The sequence below is a fragment of the Homo sapiens genome, chromosome 12 (genome assembly GCF_000001405.40).
Source record: "Homo sapiens chromosome 12, GRCh38.p14 Primary Assembly".
Lineage (NCBI taxonomy): Eukaryota > Metazoa > Chordata > Mammalia > Primates > Hominidae > Homo > Homo sapiens.
The window spans coordinates 127,206,086-127,220,117 of NC_000012.12; the positions used below are offsets into that span (position 1 = coordinate 127,206,086).

The 14,032-nt window shown below is 38.3% G+C and overlaps 1 long non-coding RNA gene across 1 annotated transcript; it reads left to right on the forward strand.

The window, feature by feature from the left end:
• The first annotated feature begins 160 nt into the window (after window positions 1-160).
• Window positions 161-3,871, forward strand: LOC124903049 (uncharacterized). Its single transcript, XR_007063521.1, has 2 exons — window positions 161-260; window positions 629-3,871. It is a non-coding gene; the product is annotated as an uncharacterized LOC124903049 (long non-coding RNA).
• The last annotated feature ends 10,161 nt before the right edge of the window (window positions 3,872-14,032 follow it).

The following is a 14,032-nucleotide window of genomic DNA, read 5'->3' on the forward strand; positions in this document are numbered from 1 at the left end:
AGTTCTCTCTATATTCCTTAATCCAGTCATGTTAACTATTAAAATTAACCCTCACTCGCCCCTCCACCATGTTTTTATAAAGGATTAGAGAGGAATGTTGGACCACATACAAAATGAAGATTGACTCCTTGGGACTCTATTGGTTTATCTCTATATTCAGGGAAGGCTGACTTTCTCCAAGCTGAAACTTCTGCAGAGACTTAATGGATTTTTGCTGAACCTGGACAATGTGAACAGGAAAGATTCATCTGTGCTCACAGGTAGTAAAAGATTTACTTGTATCTATAGAGGGAGGGAGTCATTTCTGTTGACATTTGAGTCACATTTCAAGCTGTTGCTTTAATTAGGGCTTTTGTCTTAATCCCATTATGCTGAAAGTCTTGTGGGGCACAGGTGTCACTTGGGATGTTTAGTGTAGATGGAACACAGATCTTCATTTATTTATTACTTGGGTTCAAGCTCTGCTGCTTGTTAAATTTGTGGTTTTGGGCAAATAGCTTAAACTTATTGAACCTCACATTGTTTGACTGTTGAAATGAAGCCCTTACATCATTCAACTTCTATGATACCTAAGCAATAAAACAGGACAGTTGGCATAATTATTATTTACTCCACCTTTTCCTTTTAGGTGCTGCGTCTACCAACTCCATGTGATTCTGGTGAAGTGGTGAAATGTGTGGCTCCCTTAGTTAGTAAAAACCACGTAGCTCTTACTTCTTCCAGGGATTGTTCTAAATTCTTTTAAAATATTAATTTATTTAACACAACAAGCTTATGTGGTGATTTCCATTGTTTACCTCATTTAACAGGTGAGAAAATAGAAGCATGGGTAAATGTAGTGTCTTAATGAAATTTATACAGCTAGTAAGTGACAGAGCTGGAATTTACATACAGATTGTTACACTCAAGGGTCTCTGGTTTTAAATCCTACAGTGTGATGAACATGTGACTGAGACTGGCCCATTGGATGACTCCACTTTCTCGAATCAGTGAGTGGTTCAGGGTTGTCATGTGGATTCTTACACGGTGAACCCAGTTTATGGCAATTATTGATCTGAATCCTGGGAGAGAGAATTTTACTTTCCTTTTTTGTAAGATTGCTTGTTATGAAGATGATGTTTTTTAAAGTGGTTCACCTTGGAGTGTTAGTTGCTAGTTTGCTTCATGATAACTGCTAAAAAACTTGACGAAGCCATGTTTGAGCCAGTCTGCCTGGAACTTTCCAATACACGAGGCACTAAATTACCTTTTATACCTAAGCTGATCTGATGTGTTATTGGAAGAGACCTGACAAACAGATATCATAAAGCCACTGGTATTGTCTGCAGCAATGTTAAATAGACTCAATATACATCTATACACCCATATATGCCCTCATATATGCACTAAATACACCTTGACTTTAGGAGTTGGAGACTAAATTGATTTAAACTAAGAAGAAGTCAAATAAAATGCCTTAGATAATCTATAAATTACAAATAAAATAAATATAAAATATCTAATAAGCTAACAGTTCGAGCATTCTGCAATTAAGGAAACTGCCTAGTTCACTTTGTTCTTTTGTTCTGTTTTGAATTTCATTAATTTGCGTCTCCATCTTTATTATTGTGTTTTTTCTCCTAGATATGTGTTTAGCTTGTTCTTATTTTTCTGGTTTCTTTTGGGAAAAAGTTACATTATGGATTTGAACATTGTTTCTTTTCTAATGTGTACATTTAATGATATAAAATTCTATCAAGGTGTTATCCCTTTCCTACGAATTTTGATATGTTGTCTTTTAATTTTAATTTAAGTAAAATATTTTTAGATGTGTCATTAGACTTCTTTTATAATCCATGGGTTATTTAGAAGTGTGTTGTTTACTTTTCAAAGACTTGGTGATTTTCCAAAAATTGTGTTACCGATTTTAATTTGCTTATTTAATAATAAGAAATTATACCTTATATCATCTAAATTATTTTAGTTTTTTAAGGTTTGTTTTATATCCTAGAATATAGTCTACATTGATAAATGTCCTATGTGTGCCTAGAAATAATGTATATTCTGCTGATAGGGGATATGTTCTATAAATCTCATATAGATCAGGTTGGGTTATGTTTTTCTGGATTTCTTTATACTTGCTGATTTCCTGTCTAATATAGTAATTACTTGTCACTTTTTTAGTGAGGTGTTGAAGCTTCTAAGTTCATTTATGAATTTCTCCATTTTTGTTTCCTGTGCACACAATTTTTGCTTTATATATTTTACAGCTATATTGTGAGTGAATACATCTCAGGATTGTGATGTTTTCTTGAGGAATTTATCCTTTTATCAAGACCAGTCAGTGGAGAAAATAATTTTATTTTTCAAAATATGGTGTCACATAAATAAATATCCAAATACAGAAGAATGAAATTGGACCTTACATTACAACCCATGCAAAAATTAACTCAAAATGGATGAAAGTCCTAAATGTTAAGACATAAATTTTCTTTTTTTTTTTTTTTTTGAGATGAAGTTCTGCTCTTGTTGCCCAGGCTGTAGTGCAATGGCACAATCTTGGCTCACCTCAACCTCTGCCTCCCGGGTTCAAGCGATTCTCCTGTCTCAGCCTCCTGAGTAGCTGTGATTACAGGAATGCACCACCACACCCAGCTAATTTTGTATTTCTAGTAGAGACAGGGTATCTCCATATTGGTCAGGCTGGTCTCGAACTCACGACCTCAGGTGATCTGTCCGCTTCTGCTTCCCAAAGTGCTGGGAATACAGGCGTGATCCACCACACCCGGCCAAGACATAAAATTTCTACAAGGCAATATGGTCATAAATCTTCTTGGTGTTGGATTAGTTGATAGTTTCTTAGTTATGCTATCAAAAGTACAAGCAAAAAAGAAAAAAAAAGATAAATTAGACCTCAAAAAATTTTTAAATAGTGCATCAAAGGACACTATCCAGAAACTAAAAAGAAAACTCATAGAATTGGAGAAATATTTGCAAATGATTTGGCTCGTAAGATTCTAGTATTCAGAATATATAAAGGATTCTGACAACTGAAGAAAACAAAGAAAATGACCCATTTACAAAATAGGCAAATCCTTTGAATAGACATTTCTCTAAGGAAGCTATTCGAATAGTCAATGAGCACATGGAAAGATGATCAACAACATTAGTCATTAGGGAAATGCAAATCAAAACCACAATAAGATACCATTTCCCATTCATTAAGATGGTTATAATTAAAAAGATGGAAATTAACAAGTGTTGGTGAGAATGTGGAAAAACTGACGATGGAAATACAAAATGCTACAGCCACTTCAGAAAAAAACGGAAGATTCTCAACAAGTTAAACATGGAGTTACCATGTGACTCAGAAATCTTTAGGTATTTACCAAGATGATTGAAAATATATGTTTAAAAAATACTGTTACACAAATGTCCATGGGCATTACTCATATTGTCCAAATATTGGAAACAATCCAAATATGCATCAACTTACAGAGAACAAAATGGTTATATGTCCATATAATAGAACCTGATTCAACCATAAAAATTAATAACATTGATGAAACTTGAAAACCTTATGTTAAGCAAAAGATGCTGGTAACAAAAGTGATTCAATTTATATGAAATTTTCAGAATATGCAAATTCATAGGTATAGAAAGCAGATTAGTGGGTACCAGCAGTGGTGAGGAGGAGGGAGAGAGGCTGTTAATGGGTACAGGGTTTCTTTTGAAGGTGATGAAATGTTCTGGAATTAAATAGCGGTGATGGTTATATAAACCTACGACTATAATTTAAAAAGTGTATTGTGTGCTTTAAATAGTGAATTTCACGATATGTGGATTTTATCTCAAATTTAAAAAGAAAAAAAATAAACCACCCTTTATTGGCTTCTCTTTCTTTTCTGTCTCACTGGTCTCCACCAATATTTCTGGGACACACTTTCTGCATAAAGAACTTGTATTTGAATTCTGGTCTCAGATTTTTATTTTGAAGAATGCAAATTAAGGAAAAACCCATCTCACTCCAAGCTTAAGGTAAAAGTAAAGTGCCCCCCTTGCTAGCTCAGGGAGGAATGGGGGTTATAACATTTCGACATCTTTCTCCAAAGAAATCCCCACGCACTGCTTAGCCTCTTGGAATGTCACTCTTCTTGTGGCCTCCATATTTGTAGTCACCATCTTTACAATGTTAGTTTAGCTTAGCACTTCACATTGAAAAATGAGGGTTCTTAACCTCAATATTGCTTTGTTGAACCATAAACTTGGCCCCTTATTATATTTTATTATAAATGCAAGAATAATGTAGCAACTCCCGTGTATGCCGGAGTGACTTCAGGAATAAAATCTTACAAATACAGTCGAAGCCTCTGGGATACTTTTGTCTCCCTCTCGCTTTAAGATACTCACCATCCTGAGTTTGGTGCTAATCATGTTTAGTAGCCCTTTTAACTTTGGGGTTTGGCATGTTTACATTCACAATTTGAAATACAGTATTCATAAAGTGGAGATTTCAAATTTTGCCTTTCAATTACCATATCGCATGCATTTTAATGTTTCAGAAAGACACAATCTATTTCATTACAACTTACTTTATTTCACCTAACAAATCCTCACTCATAGTCTGTGCTGACAAATTCGAGACATCATAAATCGTTGATCAATATTTAGTTATAAATTCACTCCAGCTTTGGAAACAGGCCCAGGAGCCAATTTTGTATCTCTTCTTGCAAATCATCCATAATTCATAATGACTCTCTCCTTCAAATGTGACAGGTATTTGATTTTGTAAAATGGCAGTTTGTTGACCACACAAACATACACACACACACACACACACACACACACACACTTTCCTCTAAAAACAGGTGTTCTCCAAAGGCAAGCATTGTCAGAAACTCCTTAAAGGTATTTTAGGGAAAAGAAAAGCAGCGTTTACAGAAACAACAATATGGGTTTGAGTAACAGGAGAATTCCCATTGCTTATTTCAGCAAAAAGATGTTAGCTTACATTTTATGATTGTTGGTGGTATGTGACCTAGAATAACTTTTCTTGTCAAAAATTAAAATTTACTTCAGATGTTTGGCTTGGTAAATTGAAAGCTCTGGGAATTTTGGGTACCATAAATTTCTGGTGCGGGTTTGGAATAAATAGGGATATGTAGACATCAGTCCTTTCTTTACAACACAAGAGGTTATTAATTGAGCACTGCATGGTGTGTAGAGAATTTGGGGATGTGCTCAATGGTGAGGAAGGCCATATATGCCACCCCAGGTGGAGCTTGTAACTTCTTCCAAGGGATGTGAAAATATCTTCAAAAATATTTGACAGTCTTGTGAACTCAAAGGAAAACAAGTTATTTAAGCCTCAGAGACGACGATAAGTTCTTCCTTGTTAAAAGAGTGACACTAAAGCCTACGCTTCTCTTTAGAAGATGGAATGTTGACAGCTAGGATATTTTCTGTGGAGAAACATTGTTATTCAGTAACTTAAAACTCCATAGTACTAGGCAGAAAATAGTTTAGAGTGGCAATATCTGAATCAAACAGCACTGCACTTTTAAAATCCTTTTTCATGTTCAGAAGCCACTAGATAAATTCCCAATTAATTCTTCAGGCCTTGGAAACAATATCCTTATTGAAAACAAACAACGGTATTACCATCACTCAGCAGGCAATTTTCCAAACTGCTCATTCTCAACCAGGCTAAATGTTTACTTTCAAAAGCTGTAGTGTTCAATAGTCTACTCATTTGAAATGGGCAGCATTTCCAAGACAGAAAAGGGTTTGTTCCTAATGAAAATTGAGTTCATAAAATATATTAGCTTCTGAGTGAGTACTGTTACAGGGATTAATGAGTAAATACGGTACGGGGACCAGTGGACTCTGAGAAGGGCCGCCTGAGTCTTTGGACCAGTGTTCACAGGTATCTCTGAGTTTAACAACCCTAAGGACTGTGCAGCTGTGCTTAATTACCCCCTTGGAGTGGGGTGTATTAGTCTATTCTCATGCTGCTATGAAGAAATACCCAAGACTGGGTAATTTATAATGAAAAGAGGTTTAATTGACTCACAGTTCTGCATGATTGGGGAGGCCTCAGGGAACTTATAATTTCAAGGAAGAAGGCACCTCTTCACAGAGCAGCAGGAGAGAGTATGAGTGCCCAGTGAAGGAGGAAGTCCCTTAAAAAACCATCAGATCTGGTGAGAACTCACTCACTATCATGAGAACAGCATGGCGGAAACCACCCCAAGATTCACTTATCTCCATCTGGTCTCCCCCTTGACAAGTGGAGATTATTACAATTCAAGGTGAGATTTGGGTGTGGACACAGGGCCGAACCATATCATGGGGTGTCTTCCATTCATTGCTGTGGGATTGAGAAGCAGAATTCTGTCCAATCTGCTGTTGAGTGGCCAAGGTGCTTTGGGCTTACCAGTGCAGAAAGAGAGGGCACCTGCCTTCCCAATCCACTGCCCTGAGAGATGGATCTGCAGGATTTTAGCTGGCCCCTGAAGTCAGCACCGCCTCAGGAAACAGAAGGAAGCAGTTCTGTAGAATAGAAGCCCACTGTGGATCTCACGGTGCCGAAATCAAAGAGTCGTCAGGGTTGTACTCTTTCTTGGAGGCTCCAGGGCGGACGCGTTTTCCTTTCCTTCTTCAGCTTCCAGAGGTACATGCATTCCCTAGCTGATTGCCCTCTTCTTTCTTCTAAGGGAACAGTGCTGCATCTCCTTGTATCTTACGTCTATAGTCACGGCTTTGTCTATGTTGTAGAAAGTTTCTCCAGTTTTAGGGATATATATGATTAGATTTGTCCTGCCCAGATAATCAGGGATAACCTCTCAATTTGAAGTTTTTCGTTTGTTTATTTTTGGAGACAGAGTCTTGCTCTGTCACCCAGGCTGACGTGCAGTGGCATGATCTGGGCTCACTGCAACCTCCACCTCCTGGGGTTCAAGCAATTCTCCTCCCTCAGCCTCCAGAGTAGCTGGGATTACAGTGCCCACTCCCATGCCTGGCTAATTTTTGGTACTTTTTTTTTTTAGTAGAGATAGGGTTTCACCATGTTGGCCAGGGTGGTCTCAAACTCCTGACCTCAAATGATCCACCCTCCTTGGCCTCTCAAAGTGCTGGGATTACAGATGTGAGGAACTTTCTTAACTTTAGTCACATAGACAGATCCCTTTTACCATGTAAGGTAACGTGCAACAGGTTCCAGAGATGAAGATGTGGACATCTTTGAGGAGGAGACGGGACCATTCCACCTATGACAAGCAGCCAACACTTTCGAGGTAACTCTCAACGAAGAGGAAACGCAATTCCATGGACCAACGTCCCAGACGTCTATCCTTAAGGGGAGAATGTCTGAGGAGTGCTCCATGCAACTCCTCCGAAGCTCCGCATCATGACCGAGACCAGCATTTGCTCACCACGGTAAACAGTGCACATCCCTCTTGGCTTCCCCCTTCCTGACCTCTCTCCTGATTCCATTCTCTGGGGTCAGCTCCCAATTAAACTGTATAACCCCAAGTAATTGTCTCAGGCTCTGCTTTTGAGGGAACTCCAACTAAGCCAGCTTGAAGCTTCTTCTTTGCTTGCTGACTAAGGAGCCACAACATCTTCCTTACATGCAGCACTCCTGCCATTGGTCTGCTGCGATCTCCAGCTTAAAGCAGACCAAGAGCCTACAGATGCCTGGGAAGAAATCAGAATCAGTGAAGAATACTTATAAATTGCTATCATCTAAAAACATCTATGTGCTATTGTGATATCCTTCTAATTTGACAGTGTTTTAGAAGACATTTTTTGAATAGCCTTTCAAATTTGTTTTAGCATAAACAAAATCTCTCAAGCCTTCTTTTTCACTGGTCTACAAAATATTTTATTGTATTAAGCAATTCCAGTAGCAAAAGAGCAGCTAAAACATGCTAAAGGTAAATACATCAAGGAGCAGCCATTATTAAAGTTCAATTTCCATGAAATCGTACTTGAATTATAAAAGAAAGGAGAAATAAATCCAAAAATAGACTGCAAACTAGAACAAAAAATCTGGAGATGTTTCATTTTTTTAAAAAAGTTTGCACTTGCTATGTTAAACTTCGCCATGCAGGTAGAAAGCTGAATGACTGAACTCCAGGTACAGCAAAGAGTCTAAGAAACACAGGATATACCCGAAAATGGGGGCTGTTTCATAAAAAGCAAACATTCTTTGAGAATGAATTTACTGGAGATGCATAGAGGAGTTCCCCAGAGAGACATAAACAGCTTAAAATAAATTACCAGTTGATCTTGACACAAAACGAAGATGTGTAGATAGTTTTTTAAAGTGAATAATTGGGGACTTGGCTTATTATCCCGGAAAGACTGCTGATTCAGTGTTAAATGACCCTAAACCAAAAGGAGAAATAAGGAAAATTTCCCAGGGCTGTGTCTTTTATTACAAAACCCAAACCTATTGAATGGAATGAAAAAACATCTTTTATTTCAGCTCAGACTTTCAGCTAAATGTGTCAAAGTAACACTGGCTGAATTTAATGCCAATTTTCAAGCCTGAAACTTTCCCATTGTCTCTAGGGCCTTGTTCTTAACAAAAAATATTTGTGCCAAAAATGGACATTCTGAAAAAGTGAACAACGAAGTCTTAACTCAGGTTCTTGTGTTTTTATCAATTTCAACATTTTTCATTCAATTACAAGTAAGAAAAAAGTGGGTTCTATTATATAGAGAATTTTTAATAGATATAACTAGTTTCCACTAAGACAATATAATATTTTTAAAATGTGAGAATGGATACTAACATCAAGTTCTGTAAAGCAAACAAATAAAAAAAGACAATAAAATCATGAACCTCTGGTGATTATATTTCTGTAAGGATTTCTTCAAAGTCTGACCACAAAATGAAACATTAAAAAAAATAGTTGTTTGGGGATCTTCTGAATATTGACATAAAGTCCTATAGAGAGTTGCATAGATGGAGGAAGAAAAAGGAGAATTTCCCAAGAGCAGTAGGAAGACAGAACTGTGAGACAAAGTAGTAGTGTTGATGAGGTGCAATAGTGCATCCCTCCAGACAACAGCAACATTGAAGAGGTAATTTTAAAGCTTCTTAAGTCCCATGTAGACCCACTGAGCTTATCCTTTAAACGCCTGCACTTTCAACAAAGGAAATCTCTTCTAATTCTTGAACCAATGGACACTTATTTTACAATGCAATTGCAATAAGTTTGGTTATTCGTTCAACAAATATGTATGAATCAATTAATGCCCTGACGCTGTACTAACAAGGTGCCAGGTGAGCAAGATAGACAAGGTCTCTTCTTTCAGGAAGCCTGTAGTCTAAAAGTTGTATGGTCTCCCAGGCGAAAGGTGTTCATAGGAAATAAGAGAGAAGGTATGGAGCCTGAGACGGGGAAAAAAAGAGTAGGGAGTAACATCACAGAGTAGATGGGAGGAACACCACAAAATCAAAAGGGAAACTTTAAAGAGCTTATCCTTTTGGGTCATTTAACAAGGGGACATGCTGGCTTAAACCAATAACTCTGGTAATGGTCGCTGCAGTCCACATTGGTCACAGAGAAATAGTCAGTGCAAATGGGGTGGGTCTCTGGCACACACCTGAAAGTTAGCCAGTAGTCTCTCTGTATTAAGATTACAAGAAAGAGGACTGCTTTTAGGCAGACTTTCCATTAAAACTTGGTTGTGATGAAGTTTTGGTATTTAAAAGTATACATTTTTATTAGTATGGAATTATTCCATTTCAATATTGCTGGAACCCAGGTTTTCTTTTTAAATTTTAATGTATTTTTAATTGGCAAATAATGATACATATTTATGGGTACATATGATGAGTGATGTTTTGATATATATAGTGATCAGATCAGGGTAATTAGCATATCCATCATTTATCATTTCTTTGTGTTGGGAATGTTCAACATCCTCCTTCTACCTATTTGAAACTATATAAAAGATTGTTAACTGTAGTCATCCTATAGTGGAATAGAACACTAGAACTTATTCTTCCTATCTGTAATTTTGTATCCTTTAACGAATCTCTTCCTATCCCCTTATAATCATCATCTCACAAGCATTTTCTCTTTTTCATAACAAAAAGAGAAAATTTAGAAAGAAATTTTAAGAAGAAAACCTGTGTTCCAGCATCCTGTGTCGATGACTATTTTGTGAAAACTCTTTCGATTTCTTATACGACTAGGTCAGCGGCTTTGGGGAAAAAAAATCCAAATGGACTCACCAGGTTAAGATAATAGGATGGAGGAGACAAAAGGCTGGAAAATCAGAGCCGTCCAGGAGTCCCACGATCTGAAAGCCGTTGACCCAGAGTTCTGGCTAAGGAGGCAAAAGTGGAACTGTCCACATGGAGGCCCGATGGACACACATTGTTTCCCTAATGTTGGAGATGGCACTAAAGATCTAATGGCATTTCGGAGCAACTTTGTAAACGGAAAACAAATTCTAGGAAGGCAGGACTCTTTCCCAGGTCTAGGTTTCTAACTGAAAACAATTGGAAACTTAAACAGGTGTGGCAGGCAGATTCCGTACACATGTCAAATTCACTAGATTTATTTCTAACTGTAGAATAATCCCTGAATTGTGACTTCAGAACAAACCTACAGCCTGAGGTGAGCTAAACGCTAACTCTGTTATCCACAAAAAGTTCTGAAATTGTAAGATTGCTGTAGGGCAGACAGGGGCCCCACCATTACAATATGTAGAAAATCATTTCAACTTCTGAAACATTTACTGCTACTTGTCTAAAGCAGAAATGTGAGCAGGGCTAAAACCTCTCTCTGAAATACTCTATGCATTCATATGAAATGTACAAATTTCAGCCCAATGTGCAGGATTGGTCTATATTTTACCAACCCTGGGATGAGGGTGTATAAAAACCCTCAAGTTTGCCATCCCAGACACACAGCTCATTGTGGTCCTCACCGCATTCTGGAGGATGGCTCGTCTCACATTTACCCACCCCTCAGATTGGTGGCAAGCAGCCTTCTTTTTCTGAGATTTCATTAGCTTCTCTTTACGATACAGCATTCCCCATAAGTCTTTTTTTTTTTCCTTTAGGGAAGTAGATAGCAATCACTGCAAGAATTAGTGAAAGTTTTGACTTTCCAGGGGAGGAAAAGGGTGGCTCTTAGGAAAATAAAGTTTCACTCCAATGTGAAACAATGTGTGACTTTAGGAAATTCAAATACTAAAACAGAAGTTAAAGATGGTGGCAGGTTTATAATACACAAGGGTCAATTAACTATATATAATAGTGATTGTTGTTCTTTGGGTCTTTTCTGTATCTATGCTTTTACTTGCTCCAGAAAAGAAACTAAACGCCAAAGTGTATGGGAAGAGAGAAAAGAAGAGAAGGAGAGGGGAGAGAAGTGGAAGGAAGAAGTGGGAAATACATACCTCTTCTATAATGTTTTACTTTTAATCTTGTCAATGAAAAGCCTATAATCTTTACATTAAAATAATTTTGTGTCAAATTTGTAAATCTTACAAAATCAACTATCTTGCAGTAGTGTATTTTTCACGTTTGCAGGGTATAATTTTTGATGAATTAAGTAACAACAAATACAGCAATAAAATAATAAAAGGAAAGATGCAAAGATAAATAATCATTTGAGTTGTCAAGGGAAGATGAAGTGTCTTTTCTGGACAAGTCACACAGTTATTTCTTCATTTACTTATTTATGATGTACAACAAGAGTTTTTCATGTGCATATACATAGTGATATTATTACTACAAGTAAATAATTAAACACGTCTATTACCTTCATAGCTACCTGTTATGTGACCATATCATACTCTCTATAGACAATGCAAATATTTGTTATTTAACATAGAGTCATTAATCATTGTGTGCTGTTAGCAAGTTAACGTGTCTGGAATTTATTCCTTCTGGTGGGTTCTTGGTCTCACTGACTTCAAGAATGAAGCCGCGGACTCTTGCAGTGAGTGTTACAGCTCTTAAAGATGGTGTGTGCAGAGTCTGTTCCTTCAGATGTTCAGATGTGTCCAGAGTTTCTTCCTTCTGGTGGGTTCGTGGTCTCGCTGACTTCAGGAGTGAAGCCGCAGACCTTTGGAGTGAATGTTACAGCTCTTAAAGGTAGTGAGGACCCAAAGAGTGAGCAGCAGCAAGATTTATTGTGAAGAGGGAAAGAACAAATCTTCCAGGGCGTCAAAGGGGACCTGGGTTGCCACTGCTGGTGCAGGTGGCCAGCTTTTATTCCCTGATTTAGCCCCGCCCACATCCTGCTGATTGGTCCATTTTACAGAGTGCTGAATGGTCCATTTTACAGAGTGCTGATTGGTCCATTTTACAGAGTGCTGATTGGTGCGTTTACAATCCTTTAGCTAGACACAGAGTGCTGATTGGTGCATTTACAATCCTTTAGCTAGACACAAAAGTTCTCCAAGTCCCCAGCCGACCCAGAAGCTCAGCTGTCTTCGCCTCTCATTACTTTGGGATTAATTATGATTATTTGTCACAGAAACTCACCCAGCAAACTTGACTTTGGATAGAAAGATACACGGCATTTTTGGTGACTCTTTGCTCTGTAGTTTAGCCTCCAGGGAGCAAAGGCTGGTGAGTGCCTTGTCTGAGGTGGCTCTGCTTATTCCTTCAGCAGACCAAAGAGTACAGGGAACACATGCCTAGAAAGTGTAGGCAGAAATTAATAAGCACTTGGAATTTATTTTGTTTGTTCTTTCTCCCATCGCCCCCCACCAACCCCTGGTTCTTTTTCTGTCTCCATGTAAACCACAGCTTTCACTAAAATCCTGGTTTTGTAGTTTGAAGAGAGAGAAAGAGCATGGAAACGTTTATTGTCACAGAGATCCACAACATTGACTTTTTCTGATTAGACAGCAGTAAAATGTAGAGATGTTGACATGACGAAAAGAGAATCTGATAATACCTGCAAACCGGATTAACTGTTATTTAGACATTTACATGGTGCACACTATTTTAACGTCACTCACATAATAAAATTATTCAGACGAAAATGTGAAGAATTAGTGACTCAGGATTTTTTCACTTCCTCCAAAAATGCCCCTAAAAGGAGGGAAAAGTGCATAAATTTTATTTTTCTTTTGGATCCAAATGTGTAAGAACAGAGGGATTAGAAGAAGATATGGAGAGAGATACATTTTGGAAGCTAAATCATATGTCAAAATTGAGGCAATCCAAGAAGAAATTTAATTTAGCCCATTCCACCTGCAAAGGCTCAGAAAAAAATGGCACCAGGTACCTCTGGGATTGAGGAAGCAGGGCTGACTCCCATAGGGGAGGTTTAGAAGGCATAACCCCTTCCTAGATGAGACGGTCACTTATTCTCTGCCTAATAACCTAGTTTAACAGGGACCCTTTCAGCCTCACATCCCCTAACTCCTGGGCCTGCCCTCCCCTCTGCCCTCCAACAAACTTTGGTCCCAAGAATGCATTTGGGTTTATTCCCAGCCAGGCCTTATCCTAAAGAATACACTCACAGAGAATGCCAGGTTTTATGTTCATTTTAAGTGACAAACGTAAGAGTCAAGTTATTATCTCTAACATTCCCAGTCCCCGATCATCAAACACCACTCCCATGAAGCCTGTCAGAGACTACGGCCAGGACCTCGTAACATGCCATTCAAATGAACAAGGACGGCCACCGCATGTTGATCCCCATGTTGCTCACAGGAGGCTAGGACCGTGAGCCCGAAGCCCCGCAGCACCAGACTCAAATCCTCCCATATCCAATTGCTTTAAGTATAGTCCAAGTGGGCATCCGTTTAGCCGTTTAGAGAAGTCCTGCCCTGCATATCCCACAAAAGTGCACTCAGTAACTGCCAACAGTAGATCAAAGAAACTCTGGCACTGTAAAAGACCCTAAGTCACTGCCCTCCTTCAGCCTCTCCGACACAGAGGCTCCCCGTCCTGTGGCTGAGCAACATCTTTCAGACTCATCAGCCCCCTCACTAGTCCCCTCTCCCCAAGGAGTTTCCTTGTCTTCTTCTTCTCCTCCTGGGTGGTGGCATCCCAGGCAACTGT